We start from the raw sequence: 16,290 nt of genomic DNA, 5'->3' as shown, positions 1-16,290 counted from the left end.
TTTGTCAATGATATTTTGTAGACATCAGTATACAGCTCTTATACTCATTTTGTTGTATTTATTCCTAAACTTTATTATTTTTGATGCTATTGTACATTTAATTGTTTTCTTAATTTCACTTTTGTTTATTGCTGGTGTATAAAATTATATTTTTATATATTGATCTTGTATTCTTAAACTTGTTGAATTTGTTTAATAGCTCTAATATATTTTGCATAGAATCCTTGGCTTTTTCTACATACAAGATTATATCATGTGTAGATAGAAATAGTTTTACTTTTTATTTACTGTATGAATGCCACTTAAAAAAATTATTGGGAGGCTAAGACAGGAGAATTGCTTGAACCCAGGAGGCAGAGGTTGCATTGAGCCAAGATCATGCCACTGCACTCCAGCCTGGGTGACAGAGCAAGATACCATCTCAAAAAAAAAAAAGAAAAAGAATGTAACTTTGATATATCTCAGAGCTACGAGAAACATGATGTTCTTACTAAATTAATGTATTTTCGATTGCATGTGGGAAAGACATAACTTGTTGCATCCAAAAAACTATGATATTCTGAAGTTGTTGTTGTTAAAATGAATATATATGTATATACATATATACACACACTCACAGAGTGATTTTAAAATAGAGTTTTTGTGAAAGAGTAATGTGAAATACATATGTTCAAGTTTACATTTTAAAGAAAACATAATTTAAACTCATTCTGACAAAGAGGACCAGATTCTGTTTAGAATTAAGATGAGAAGATGTCTTATCTATTTATTTATTTATATGTATGTCATTATGCTTATGAACACCACCACTAAATAGTATCCCTACCCTAACAATGGTAGCTAAAAAGAAAATTGGAATCTTTATAAATGAGTAACTTCATGTCAATATTTTTGGCTAACATAGGCTTCAAGCTCAGCAGAAAAATCTTTTCTTTGTTCATTAATTCAGCAATTATTTTTTGAACTGCTAACGTGTCTAGCGTTGGGATAGAATCTGGTAACAAAACAGATGCAAATCTATATTGGGCTTACATGCTAGTAGATGGAAACAGTAATCACAGTGGGTAAATAATATAATACATAGTAGGAGACAAAGCTCTGGAAAAAATTAGAGCATAAAATGGAAATTGGGGATGTCAGGTTGGGTTTGGGAAGTTTGCAATTTAAATAGAGTAGTCAGGATAAGCTTAATGAAAAATTTGACATTTTAGAAAAGGCTTGCAAGAGCACAGGGAGAGTTCCATGAAGATAGCTATAGAAGCGTGTTCCAGGTTGAATAACTAGTGTAAAATTTGGAAGAAACATGAATTAGATGTTTTTAAGGAAAAACAAGGGGGAAAGTATGGCTTGGGTAGAGTGAACAAGAGTAGTAGAAGATGAAGTCAGACATAGTGACACAAAGAAGCCAGCTAGGAGGAAGGTGCAAAAATGCAAGTGAAAGATTTTGAGAGTTTAAACCAAGATAGTGAAAGCATAAAAAATGGTTCAATTCAGAGTTAATTTTCGTATGTCTATTACATATCTAAGTAAATTCATCAATGATAAAGGAAAAGGGAAAGGTACGAGATTTTAAATATAAGTTTGGAACTTAGGAATATTTAAATGCTTGAAACCGTAAGAGTGGATGAGGGCACCTAGGTAATTTATATAGACAGAGAAGATTTAAAAGCTGGAAAGAAGAAATTTGAAAAGAGAATGAGAGGAGTCTAGTGATAAAGAAGGAAAACAAAGATCACATGTTTTAGCATCCCAGTGAGAAAAGTGTTTCCAGTGAGGAATAACTGTATGCATCAAATATTGCTGACATGTGTAGTATCTGAGAATGATCTTCTGTCTTATAAGTATATGAACCATAGTTATCTATAGCTTACTCTTTTACTAAAAGTTGGAATATGTGCTAGTCCTCTAATATTAACTTGCTTCCAAAAAAAAAAAAAAACTGTTAAAAACATGATTTGCCCTAGGATCATTGTAAAAGTATTTTAATTGAGATATATTTTTAAGTAAATGGTCACTAGTGTGGTGAACACAAATGAAGTGTGGTATAAATATCTGTTTATTCTAATGTTTATTTTGGCATCTGCCTTAATAACTTGAATCTTTGTAAGACAGTAAACCATAGAAAGTTTTGAGTTCTACAAAATTTAGCTTATAAGAAAGCAAAATAAACTGATAAAGGAAATAAAATAATGTTGCTGCATTCACCTGTTAGGCACTGCATGGTGAAGAACTATGCTAATGTCAAGAAGAAAGATATCTCCTCTCTACTTCTCTAAAAGAGATTGTAAAATTATTTTCTTCTGTTCAAGAAAATTAGCAGTTATACAGTTTGACACAGTTCATAAAGAATTGCAGCAGAATATTTTACTTTCTCTCTTTATGCTTCTGCAAATTGAATTGGCATTTAAGGAAATAAGGAGCTAGCAAATAGAAGACAGCTTTCCTTATCTCTCAAAGTTTTACTTAACAGAGGCAGAGACCAATGAAATAATTTTTAACATGACAATGCATTTTCAATCCCTAGTAAATTTACAGTGTTGGGTAGTTATCTATTACATCATATTTGTTTTTGTTTTGGGACAACAATTCAGTAAAAAAGTTTTTAATGTTTTCACTTTATGAAGTGATAAGGACAAAGGGTTTAAAAATGACTAAGGACTAGTGAGGACTAGTGAGAGAAGAACAATAATACACTTAAGTATATATATTTTAACCTGGCAAACAAAGTAACAGGTGCCAACAATCAGGTGTTAATTGTGTGACTGTTAAAAATAAATGTTAAAATTTAAGTTTATAAATACATTTAAATAAATTGTCATGTCAATATTATTTGCAAATAAAATAATACTAAATTATTTCCATTGTATTTGCTTTAATAGAAAAAAACATTTTCAAGGAGAGCTCTTTACTATCTTATAATGTTGTTTGTTTTTGATAAAACTTGAGTAAACCCGTATTTTTATATATTAAATATGTTATTAAGATTGTAGTGGAAAATGTTGGAGAATCTAGATAAAATCCATAATTAGCTACCAATTCTGTATTAGTATGAATTATATTATTACAGTTTCCTTTGGTATTTTATGCATAAATGTATCTTTCATCCCTTCTTCCTTATTTTCTTCCTTTCCTTCTCTTCTTCCTTCCTTCTTTTTTTTTTTGTTTTTTTGAGACAGAGTCTCTCTCTGTCACCCAGGCTGGAGTGCAGTAGTGCTATCTCAGCTCACTGCAAGCTCCGCCTACCGGGTTCACGCCATCCTCCTGCCTCAGCCTCCCTAGCAGCTGGGACTACAGGAGCCACCACCACGCCCGGCTAATTTTTTTGTATTTCACCGTGTTAGCCAGGATGGTCTCGATCTCCTGACCTCGTGATCTGCCCGCCTCGGCCTCCCAAAGTGCTGGGATTACAGGTGTGAGCCACCATGTCTGGCCCCCCTTCTTTTTATATTTTGTTGCATTATAACAAACACAAAAATGTATAAGCAAAAGTTACAAGTGATAACCTTTATCTAAACACACTTATGGAATAAGCATCTAGATAAAGAAACAGGACACTTCTAGATGCTGAAAATTTCCTGTATTCCTTCAGGTCAAAATAACAACCCCCAGAAGAGTAAACGCTATTCTGACCTCTAACATTAGAGATTAATGTTTTTTGTTTTCAACTCTACATGGAAGAAATACATTTTCTGTACTCTTACTTTGCTCAAAATGTTATTTGTGATATTTATCCATATTGTTGCTGTTTTAGTTCATGCACATCCATCTCTAAATAGTGTTCCATTGTGTGAACATATCATAATGTTTTGATTCAGTCAAACCCATTTGGCTAGTCCACAGTGTTTGACTATTATGAAAAGCACTATTAAAAATACTTGCACGCATTTTTTAGTAAACATACATAAACTTAATGGATTGGCTATATACTTAGAGGTATAGTTGCTTGTAATAAAATGTGCATACGTTCAGCTTTAATAGAGATTGTCAAATATCTACTAACTTGTTGCAGTAATCCGTTATCTTCACTAACAGTATTGTCTGTCTTTTTACTATTAATGGCTCTGGTGAATGAGTAATGGTATGACCTTAGGGGTTGAATATGCAGCAAATTAAATTTTTATAATTTTTATTATCCATTTGGTGATCTCTTTTGTCAAGTGCTTATTGAATCCTTTGCCAATTTTTCTATAGGGTTATCTATTTCCTGTTAATTTGTTAAAATTCTTGATGTATTCTAAATATAAGACATTGGTTGGATATGCGTATTGTAAATTTTACCTCTAACTCTGTGAGTTACATTACCTTTTTTTTTTTTTTTTTTTTTGAGACGGAGTCTCACTCTGTCGCCCAGGCTGGAGTGCGGTGGCCGCAATCTCGGCTCACTGCAAGCTCTGCCTCCCGGTTCATGCCATTCTCCTGCCTCAGCCTCCCAAGTAGCTGGGACTACAGGCACCCGCCACCACACCCAGCTAATTTTTGTATTTTTAGTAGAGAGGGGTTTTCACCTTGTTAGCCAGGATGGTCTCGATCTCCTGACCTCATGATCTGCCCGCCTCAGCCTCCCAAAGTGCTGGGATTACAGGCGTGAGCCACCGTGCCTGGCCTAAATTACCATTCTTTTCATGGTTACTCTTGATGAAGATAAATTATTGATATCAATATCACCCAATTTATAAAAAATATCATGTGATCTGGGCATTTTAATGTTCTATTTGTCAAACATTTGCCTACTGCAAGTTCTGAAGATATTCTCCCAGGTTTTATTCTAAAAAACTTATTTTTCATGTTCATATTTAGAGCTACAATTCAGAAAACTTATACTTGGGTATGATACAAAGTAAGAGAGATGAGGTGATCTAAATTAATATTTGTTGCCCTAAATGGTTGAATAAATATCTCTTAATTAGAAAGATAAAATCTAAGACTATTGAGAAAAGTTGCACTATCTCTGTCCTACTTTTCATTATAAAAAGTAAGATGAGGGTACAGCTGTGAAGATATTCCATTTATGTATAATAGAGGTTGGGAGTAGGATTCAAGAGGACTCAAAGAAGACAAAAGAGAGATACAAAGTAGTGAGTTAACAACACCTGACCAAGGAAAGCTAAAGAAGGGGTTAAAAAAATAAAAACCCACAAAACATTCAAACTTGCAATACATGGAAAATTGCTTTCTGCATATTCCAAAATATAAAATATCACAGAGGCAAGATATGGTCCAAAAAAAAAATATGGCATGTTTGGTGAGGAAGTATTTAAACAGACCATTATCACTTAGTCAAGTGCTAGATGTTAAACCTTGTCAGGAATTTTCTGAGAATACCTCACTTTATGCTCAGGCACTAGCATAAGTCACATAACTAATCATAGAGCAATTTCTAGAAAGGGAATCAGAGTACCAATATTAGTTTAAATTAATCATCTGGATTGGTAAGGATATTAGGAACATTACAAGATGAAATAGTTTGCCTACATGGGGTTAATTTTTATGTTTATTAAATTTATGTCTGTATGCCCTGAGCCTATACTAGTTGTTTTTATGACTCTTTCTTGTTTTCCCTAAAGGATGTGATCCACTTCCAGGACTGTTTACTTATTTCACACTATCTATTAAATTAAGGTTGTTATCATAAACCCTATATAGACTTACATTTTTTGGTCCTCATCAATTTTCTGAGAAAAGTTTTTCTGTCTATAGTTATTTATGTATAAATTTCTTAATATGATTTGATCAATTTTTATTTTATATACCTTACAACTAGGATAATATATGGTTTAATAGTTATCATACCTTCTTAAATTTCCCTCTTGCCAACAATATATATTCATTTTATTCTTTTTTAAGCACTTTATCTTGAGTTATACTTTGTCTTCTTTCTTTTTGTAAGCAATCATCTTGTATGTGATTTTTACCTTTTTATGTCTTCCTGTTTCAGTGATTTTAGGATGACTCTTATAATGTCATATAGGTGAATTCTATGCTTTAGTTCTTTTAATCAATGTCACTGCATTTTTGAGTATTCTTTATACTTTTATTTTTTAACACTTTTATTTTTCTAACACTATACTTAAATAATGTTTCAATGACTCATTTACCTCCATGTATATTAACTTTTTTCTTAAAATTTTCACCTCTATTTTTAGCTTACTGTCCTAAAAATTGCAATGTAAACTTTCAGCGTGCTACCTGCTCTTCAGCAATGTCTATTTTCTATTAATATAATAATCTAATCATTAAATTTTAAATTCCAAATAATATTTTTTAAAATCTTTTTATGGATACAGTAACTTATCTTTCTGAGGACATTAATTATATGTATTCTAACATTATATCCAAGAAGTATTCATATAATCTAACATGCTTTTAATGTAATTCTATTTATTGAGTTGTGTAAGTCTCTTTCGTGATATTATCTTTTCTCGGTAATTCTTCTTGGTGGTGGCAATTTGTAGTTAGAATGCTAATATGCCTTTTTAATCTCTGCAAAACTTGATAGGAGGGACAGAAAGAGCTAGGAAGGCTTACATTACTGTTTGCCTATGGTAGGAATGAAGGAAGTATGGGGCGTTTTATTGTATATAAAACTTCCCTCTATTTCTTCTGGGGTCACCAATGATCCCAGACACTGTGTTAACATTTTAATTTCACCATCCAGTTATACTGCTTCTGCACAAAAGCACCTTGATTAAAGCTTGATGCCTGGTGGAGAAGGAAACAGCAGACTTCCTGGCTACCACTGTCGTGCTGCCACAACCAATTGCCCTATCCATTGATTTGAACAACCTCCTATTCAAAGTAGCTCCTGCCTCGTTTTTTACTTTCCTCTCCTATGTCTGTTTCGGACCATTACTTTCTTTTTCTATGTTATTCTTTTATTTTTTCAGCTATCCCTCATGAATCCTAGTAGAGAAAACTTTCTTATTTTTCAATGCATTATTTATTTTTTAAAATTACTTTCTTTAGTTTTGTTCACTTAAGAAAGAAAGAATAGGCTACAGTGTTTTCAGTCCATTATATTTATTGGAACTTCTAACATTATATGTAAGTCGTCAAATTTTGCAATATTTACTTTTACTTATATCTACTTTTTCCTTCCTGTTTTCTCTTTAGTTGTTATTGTAAGTGAGAACCAATAAACAGTGTTGATTACTCTTTGCTGAACCAAATAATGTGATCAGGCCCATAGAGATTAAAATATAATCCCAGGTTCCTAAACCTATAATGGTCAAAGAAGATATTCCAAGTTTTAGGGCCTAGAGGTTTCACTTTTTGTTTTCTTTTTTTTAGAAAGCAAGACACTTCAAAACTTAGTGGCTTGAAACAACAGCTATTTATTAAGTCTCACAAATCTACCAGTTGGCTGAGTGGTTTTGCTGATCTTGTCTGGGCTTGTTTCATGTGTCTAAATCAACTAACTCCCTAGTCAGCTGGAGGCTGCATGCTCTAGGTGCACTCAGATTGAACGATTCAGCGCTGCTCAATGTGGTCTCCCCTCTTCCAGGTGACTGGACTTGATGTGTTCTTGAAAAAAGTAAGTTGCAAAGAAAGAGAATAAAAGCACGTAAGTCTCCAGAGACCTAGGCTCAGAACTGGCACACAGTCACTTTCCTTCCATTGGTGAAAGCAAGTAACAGGATCAGCTCAAATTTAAGGGGAAAGGAAATAGATATACTGGGAAAAGTTACAAAGTACCCCCATCTCAATTTTTATTTTGACATTTTTCAAAGATATAGCAAAGGTGAGTGTTTCAACCTACCACTTACATTCTACATTACCCATATATCTATTCAGTTTTCCATCACTCTATCCACCCATCAGTTTATCTTATTTTTGACACACTTCCAAATAATCTGCAGATAGAGCAGTTTCTCTTTTCTGTAACTTCATTTAGCACTCAAAACAATATCACTATTTAATGTTACACTTTGACTACAAACTTATCTTTCTCCTTACAAGCTTTTTATGTATTTAATATTATCTTGGCTATTTCTGTGCAAACTAGTTAAATGTTACTTTGAAATTCTTCTTTTCTCTACATCACCTCAGTTACTCCAGTGGACAGTAATTGTTACTTACTGTGGTCCTCTGTTACGGTTTTGAATTTCTTCAAATGCCTTTTGAATTTAATGAAAATACTACATGAAATAATACTGGTGGCTACATAATTTTCTTCCACTTTTTCTTAAGTCTCTGCAATGAAACAGCTGACAGTAAGGTGTGCGTGAGTGGTGAGATATGTTAACTCCTATACTTCACTTTAGCTTATGTTGTCAGGGAGTGATCTCCAAATGCAAAAATATAAAGTACTCTATTCTTGGGGAACAATGTGAGCAATGGAAGGCTTGGCCTTTCTTAGGCAGATCCCTCAGATTCAAAAGGAACACATCTTGATTTAATATCAATCTCTATACAGGGGCCTGAGAATGGGATGAGGAGAGCTGCTGGTCTTTGTACTGCAATTTAATTCACTCTGATTACTTTCTATCCTCCCACCCCCACTCTTCCTCCAGTCTCTTTCTGATTAGTTATCATAGTCTTCCCCAAGACTCTATATATGCTCTCTGGGTTCCTGTCAAGAGGAAATCCTGTACACACCCCCTACTCCTCTATCACTGCTTCCTGGTCTGGGCACTCTCACTGTGCAGCTTCTTCTGCTCTGGTTTAGCCAACAATATAATCCATAGATTTTCTGAATTCCATCATAGCATCTGGTCTTTGTGTGAGTCCTCTTTCATTCCGTGTCTATTACGGGTATTTTTAAATATCTTTACTGTTGATACAGTGAGATTTGTGGGAAAGAGGATAGAAACATAAGCCAATCTCCCCTCTTGAAATGGACATCTATTATTAATTAACACTCATCAAAATAAATGTTCTTATTGTTATATCTTAGTTGGATAAAGATGAAAAGATAAGACCAAAATCCTGCTCTCTAATCACGATTTATTGTAACAATAATATTATTGTATTATTGTAACATTTTTTCTTGATTCAAAAAAGCTGAAGATGCTAAAATGGGACAGTTTGGGCCATGTTATTTTAAACAATTTTGTCATCCAACCAATATTCTTAGTATTTCCCCTCAAATCCTTTCACTAGTCTTCCTTTTTCATTATTCACAATGTTTATTTCAAAATCTTGCCTGTCTCCCCCATTCATCCTTACAAATTCTTACCTGTTCTTTACAGAGAAAGTAGAAGTTATCAGAGAGAAAGTCCTTTCAATTCTTGTCTCTTTTATTATGAACATGTATGCCTCTGTTTTATCCTTTCTTCTTTCCTTCGTGTCTTGAACATTCTCCTAATAAAGGTAAACCATCCATTTAAAAATCTGTTCCTATCACTTCCTATTATTTCTGGGACCTTGTACTGTTTGCTCTGTCTTCTTGCTCTATTCTTCTCGCTCAGGCTTCGATCTGTCGCCATTTCAATTTCAATACTGCTGATCTGGCAAAGGTCAAAAATAATCTCTTTGTTGAAACATACAATGAACACTGTTTAGTGATCATCAATTTTTAATTCTTTGCATTATTCGGACTTCTAGCCACTTCCATTTTGTTGAAACTCTCTCCTCCATTAAGTTATAGGACCTGATTCTGTTCTACTTCTCTTTCCACTCTTTCTATCTCTCCCTATCAATCTCTGTTCTTGGCTACTCTTCCAGTCTTAGTAAAAGTTAATGTCATATTAGGCCTCCTTCCTGGCTTCTCTTGTAATGTAATGTGTGTGTTCTCTTGCAATATTACTTGACTTCAATTATTGCACAAATCATTCCAAATCCATATATCATTGCCGAGTTCTAATCTGGTTACTAACATTTATATATAGTTTCTCCTAGATATATCTGCCTGATTTACCACTAAGCATCTCAAGCTGAGAATATTCCAAACTGGATGCATTGTAGTTATTATTAGTACTTATCAAATATGTTTTGCTACTATCCGTGCACCTGGCACCACAATAGATGCAGTTGCCCATGTGGAAAACACACTTGACTGTATCCATTCCCTCACTTCTTGAGTCTAATCTAACACCAAGGCATGACCTCCTGGCTTTATTTTTTAAATCTCTTGAACCCATTTTATTTTCCTCACCCCTCAATGTCACATCTCTCATCTTCCACTAGGATTAATTCCGCAAGATTCTAATAGATATCCCAATTTTCATCCTGACATCCAGACAGACTGAAATATCTAAGACAAAGGTGAAAGTAGATTTCCTCTCTGCCCAAAGCCCTATATTAGTCCACTAATATTTTTTAGCATAACAATTATTATATCAATTTCTTATCTTATCAATTTCTCCTTCTGATTCTTTCCTTTTGGAATTCTATCTTCCAAATACATCAAATTACTGATATGTCCTTGAATGCATCATGTTATTTCCCAGTACTTTGCAGAAATGCCACATGCACCTAAAATATGTTCTACTCTCTATCTCTGCTCACTCACACTCATCTAGCTCCTCCTTGACTCCTATAGAGCCTAAGTATAATATATACTCAATAAGTGAATAAAAGAATAACGAATACATTTTTCTATACTCTATTTTCCATTTCACCTTTAAGAGTTTATTTGGTATCAGTGCTCATTTAAACTTGAATTATTTGAGGAAATACCTGTCACAAATTGCTTTAATACCACATAGAAACTGTATTAAATAAATGGGAATATAGAAATTTTTTTTAATAATTTAAGCAGTAATTTGAAATAAATAGTTCAAATCTGAAACTTAATATTTTGCCTACTTTGTCCATTTTGCTGGCTTGAACTTTCCTTTTGTTCAGGGATTAGAATCTATTAGCACTCTTCAAGTCTCATTAAAAATAAATTAATCTTTGTGAAGCTCATTTTAACATTTATCTGAAATTAAACCGAAAAATGTAATTAGTAGAAATTCATGGAAAAGAGCCCAATTTTTATTATGTACCATTAGTAGTATAGTTGGCTTAAAAAACAAAACAAGAATAAACTCAAAAACAAAAGCAAACAAGGAAAAATAATCTGATGTCATTGGTATGGCCTTCACCCAGACAGCTACTGAGGAAGTTTCACAACCTTGGAAGTTAACGAAAATACTCTGGCTTTCCCATAAAACTCACTGTCTCACTGTATTTTTTTTTTTTTTTTTTTTTTTTTTGCTAAAAAAGGAATAATTCTCAATGAAAAATTTGAAACTAAATTTCGGCACAATAAAATGTCAAAGAGGAAAATAATCTATGAGATAATAATGAAAACTGCACTGCTTAAAAGAAAATTATTTCTGAGATAATAGATTCATTTTTACTTTATGGATACATGATAAATCTGATTATAACTGAGGTCATGTGTTAAACCAACAAAAAAAAAATTTCACTGTGAACATCACTGAAAATATTGGCCTCCTATCAAATGCTATCCTCTTAACTGGATCTATTCATCTATTCACACCACCTTTACTCATATGCCCCTAATTCTTCTCAGCCTGTTCTACTTTTCCACCTAGTACTTTAATGTTCTAACATTCTATAAGTATACATACTTATAATATTTATTTTTATTTATGTTACCTCACTAGTATGTAAGTCTCATAAAGGCAGGAAGTTTCATCTATTTTGTTTTCTGTTATAGCCAAGGACCAAGAATACCTGTCATATAGTACTCATTCTGAATAAAACTAGAGAAAGTCAATCATAAAGAATAAAATAGCAAAGAAAGTTTTTTTTTTTTTTGGTGGACAATAAAACAAGCAAATGGAAGTGTATTGGTCCTGGATCATGTCACAATCTAAACTGGTCAATCAGTAGAACTTGCCAGCACCCTCTGTCATTCCATGTCATCTCAACGCAGCCACAGAAGTAACTACATGTCCTAGTTTCTGTGCTTCAGCATGGCATGGGCATTTAATCTATTAGATAGGCAGGTCATTTTATTTTTGCTTATCTTTATTTTGAAATCTAAAAGTTAAATAGTAAAACATTGCAGATATAGTATATATGACTTCTAAGTTCTTCAAATTAAATGAAATTTTTACACAGCAAATTTAGACATAACTTACTTTCTCTCTTTCTTCTTGAAGGTGTCTTTGATTTATTGGATTTTAAAGTGTAGCAAAGCGATAAAATTGTGATTATTGAAGAAGACCAGGATTTCTTTGCTGTCCTTGATATGATGGACAGAAAATAAATCTTAAAAAAGCCCTAAAAATGCATAATAAAATTACCCACTTATTGATGCTTTTCAAGCTAATAATTATAAGCCTGAAAGAACATCAGTACTTGATAGATAGAATAACCCCATTATTTACACATCAACGTTTATTTGACACTGAACCAAACCAAAAGAGTGCTGTTGATGACAGTGTTTAATCTGTAATAAATATGTCACCCATATTTCATTATTGAAAATAAACAAAATATACTTTTATTTGTTGGTTAGTGCATTTTTTTTCTGAAAAATTTCCCAAACATTTTACTTCTTGTTATTAAAATAACTTTGAATATACCATGTTGAATTAAGACACCAACTCTCTCCTCATAAACCAGAGTGAGATTTATACAAATGAGAGGAACATTTCCAAATAGTACTTTGAAAATATCATAAAAAATAAAATTGGGCATTGGTACACTTCATAATGTTGCAAGTGGTGATAAAATAAAGACATAAAATTTGATACTTTTTCTTATATATAGAATATAATTAAAATAAGATATTTTGTGCTGCTATATTCTGCAGCCAATAAAATGGTGGCAGGCATGGTGGCAATCCATAAGCTCAGCAACATGGAGTTCCCCTCACCGAGGCCAACGTGACCATAGCCACTGCTGAGTACCCAATCTTCCAGCAGCATAGACCAACATCAAGTCCTGAAATGATACAATGATACCCTTCCCCAGGAGTGATCAGCCAGCTACCTGGTAGCACATTGATTACATTGGATGTCTACCATCATGGAAGGGGCAGTGTTTTCGTCTTAACTAAAATAGACACTTATTGTTGGTATGGATTTGCTTTCCCTGCACAGAATGATTCTGTGAAAACTACTATCTGCAGACTTACAGATGTCTTCTCCACTGTCATGGTATTTCACAGAGCATGACTTCTCATCGAGGAACTCATTTAACAGCCAATTAAATGTAGCAATGGGCTAATCCTCAAGTAATTCATTGGTTTTACCATGTTCCCTGCCATCTGGAAGCAGCTGGCTTGGTACAACGGTGAATGTCCTTTGAAGACTTAGTTATCATGCCAGGCAGGTGGCAATACCTTCTGAGGGCCTGGAGCAAGGCTCTCCATAGGGCTGTATATTCTCTGATTCAACATTTAATATATGGTGCTGTTTCTTACATAGCCAGGTTTCACAGGTCCAGGAACCAAGAGGTGGAAATGGAAGTGGTAACACTTACTATCATTCTTAGTGGCCTAATAACAAAACGTTTGTTTCTGTTAAGAGAAAAATGTTAGACAAATTAAATTTAACAGCGTTTAATTGAGTGAAGTGCAATTCCTCAGTCAGGCAGTTTCTCCCATCAGAACAGGTTCAGAGAGTTTCAATGGTTGTCTCATGGTTGGAGAGGATTTATGGACAGAAAAAGGAAAGTGACATACAGAAAATGGAAGTGAGGTACAAAAACAGCTGGATTGGTTACAGCTTGGTATTTGCCGAATTTGAACATGTTTTGAACAGTTGGCCACCTTTCATTGGTGAAAACTTGCTGGCTGGTACAAGAACAGAATACAGTGTGTTTACACACCCAGTTAGATTACAATTTAGTATGTACAGAGAAATACTTAAGCCAAACTTAAAATACATAAGGAGGCAGCATTAGGCTATATGTACTTCCTATCTCTATGACCTTACACTCTTCTGACCTGAAAGTCTTAGTTCCAAAGTGAGCAATGCTTCCACCAGGAGATACAAAAATGATTCCCTTGAATTGGAAATTAAGACTGCTACCTGGCCACTTTGTCTTCCTCATGCCTCTAATTCAATAGGCAAAGAAGGGAGTGATTAATACTACACTGACTTGGATGAGTGGATATAAGAAAGAGTATTTCTGGAATACAGAAGAATTCAGGGCATCTGTTAATATTACCATGCTCTGTGATTAAAGTCAATGAAAAACTACAAGCCACTTTCTACAGAACTACTAATGACCCTAGACTCTTCAGGAATAAAGGTTTGATTGCCTGTACCAGGTAAAGAATCATGACCATCTGAGTTGCTTCTTCAAAGAAAAGAGAATACAGAATGATTAGTGGAAGAAGGTAGTTGTACCTTCCACCTATGACCATGTGATAAGTTAAAGAAATGAGGCCTATAGTTGTCATGAGTATTTCTTCTTTTTTTTAAATAGGTGGGTATGCATGTGTGTGTAGCAAATATCTTTGTTTTCTCCCCTCTCTTATCCTCTTATGACATAACAAACGATGTACTCACTCTACATATCGTTACTTACATATTGTTATCTTAACATCATAGTATTTAAGTTACAACGTATCGAGGAGAATAATGAACATCCCCCACATACTTTTCATTCTCTTCTATAGAATAAATTAGTGCATTTTCAATTATATGCAGGACAGTTGTACAGGTATACATCTTTTTATCGTGCTTTATAGTGCTTTGCAAATATTGCATTTTTTACTATTTGAAAGTTTGTGGCAACTCTTTTCAGCAAGTCTATTGGTGCCATTTTTGCAACAATATGTGCTCATTTTGTGTCTCTGTGTCACATTTTAATGATGCTCTCAATATATCAAACATTTTGATTATTATTATGTTTGTTATCATGATCTGTGTTCTTTGATATTACTATTATAATTGTTTTGGGAGTTCATAAACTGCACCAATATATGATAGGGAACTTAATCGATAAATGCTGTGTGTGTTCTGACTGCTCCACTGACTGGCCATTGCCCATTTCTCTCTCCTTGAGCCTCCCTATTTCCTGAGACACAATAATATTGAAATTAGGCCAATTAATTACCCTACAATGACCTTTAAGTGTTCAAGTGAAAGAAAGTGTCACACATCTCTCACTTTAAATCAAAAGCTAGAAATAATTAAGCTTAGTGAGAAGGGCATTGTTAAAAACCAATATAGGCTAAAATCTTGATCTCTTGTGCCGAATAAATAGCCAAGTTGTAAATGCAAAGAAAATGTTATAAATGCAAAAAGAAATTAAAAGTAATACTTCAGTGAACACATGAATGATAAGAAAGCAAAATACCCTCATTGCTGATATGGGGAAAGTTTTAGTGGTCTAAATAAAAGATCTAATCATCCACAATATTCCCTTAAGCCAAAATCTAATCCAGAGCCAGGCCCTGATGCTCTTCAATTTTATGAAGCCTAAAAGAGGTGAGAAGTCTACAGAAGAAAAATTTGAAGCAAGTAGAGGTTGGTTTATGAAGTTCAAGTAAGAAGAGCCATCTCCATATCAAATAAGATGAAGGTAAAGCTGCTGATGTGAAAGCTGTAGCTTGTTATCCAGATGATCTAGCTAAAATAACTGATTAAAGTTGCTACAGTAAACAACAGATTTTCAATGTAGACAAAACAGTCATTCAGTGAAAGAAGATGTTGTCTCTTGCAGAGAGAAAGGAGAATCAACATGTGGCTTCAAAGCTGCAAAGAATATTCTGGATATCTTGTTAGGGGCTAATGCAGCTGGTGACTTTAAGTTAAAGCCAACACTCATTCACCAGTCCAAAAATCCTAAGGCCCCTAAATATTATGCTAAATCTACTGTGTATGTGTTCTGTAAATGGAACAACAAAGCCTGGAAGACAGAACATCTATTTACAACATGGTTTAATAAATATTTTAACCCCATTGTTGAACAGTCCTCAGAAAAAAAGACGCCTTTCAAAATAGTACCGCTCATTGACAAGACACTTGGTCATGCGAGAGCTCAGATATAGAAGTACAAGTAGATTAACGTTGTATGCCTGCTACCACAACATCCATTCTGCAGCTCATTGGTCAAGGAGTAATTTCAATGTTCAATTCTTGTTATTTAATAAATGCATTTCATAAGGCTGTAGCTGCCATAGATGGTGATTCCTCTGATGGACATGTGCAAAGCCAGTTGAAAACCTCCTGGAAAGAACTCATCATTCATTTTTTATTTTTTTATTTTTAAAATTATTTTCCTTAAGTTTTATTTTAACTTCGGGGGTACTAGTGCAGGTTTGTTGCATAGGTAAACTCTTGTGTCAGGGAGATTTGTTGTACAGATTATTTCACCACCCAGGTATTAAGCCTAGTACCCTCTCATTATTTTTTCTGAGCCTCTCCCTCCTCCCAA

The 16,290-nt window shown here is 33.8% G+C and overlaps 1 long non-coding RNA gene across 1 annotated transcript in view, besides 1 other annotated feature; it reads right to left on the bottom strand.

Moving 5' to 3' along the window:
- Positions 6,612-7,811: an enhancer, noted in NCBI's record as "MED14-independent group 3 enhancer chr14:40916062-40917261 (GRCh37/hg19 assembly coordinates)". NCBI's record gives its function as "activates an origin of replication core promoter dependent on BRD2, BRD4, P300/CBP and CDK7 cofactors, and independent of MED14, by STARR-seq in HCT116 cells {active_cell/tissue: HCT116}" and the evidence as "EXISTENCE:reporter gene assay evidence [ECO:0000049][PMID:35650434]".
- Positions 9,194-16,290, bottom strand: part of LOC105370465 (uncharacterized) — a 46,310-nt gene continuing 39,213 nt past the window's right edge. The window contains exons 2-3 of the long non-coding RNA XR_001750926.1: positions 10,747-10,861; positions 9,194-9,446 (exon numbers count right to left, since the gene is read on the bottom strand). This is a non-coding gene — a long non-coding RNA (uncharacterized LOC105370465). The remainder of the gene's footprint in view (positions 9,447-10,746; positions 10,862-16,290) is intronic.

The sequence above is a fragment of the Homo sapiens genome, chromosome 14 (genome assembly GCF_000001405.40).
Source record: "Homo sapiens chromosome 14, GRCh38.p14 Primary Assembly".
Classification (NCBI taxonomy): domain Eukaryota; kingdom Metazoa; phylum Chordata; class Mammalia; order Primates; family Hominidae; genus Homo; species Homo sapiens.
The sequence above is the reverse complement of the archived record's forward strand: the minus strand, read 5'-3'. Positions and strand labels throughout refer to the sequence as shown.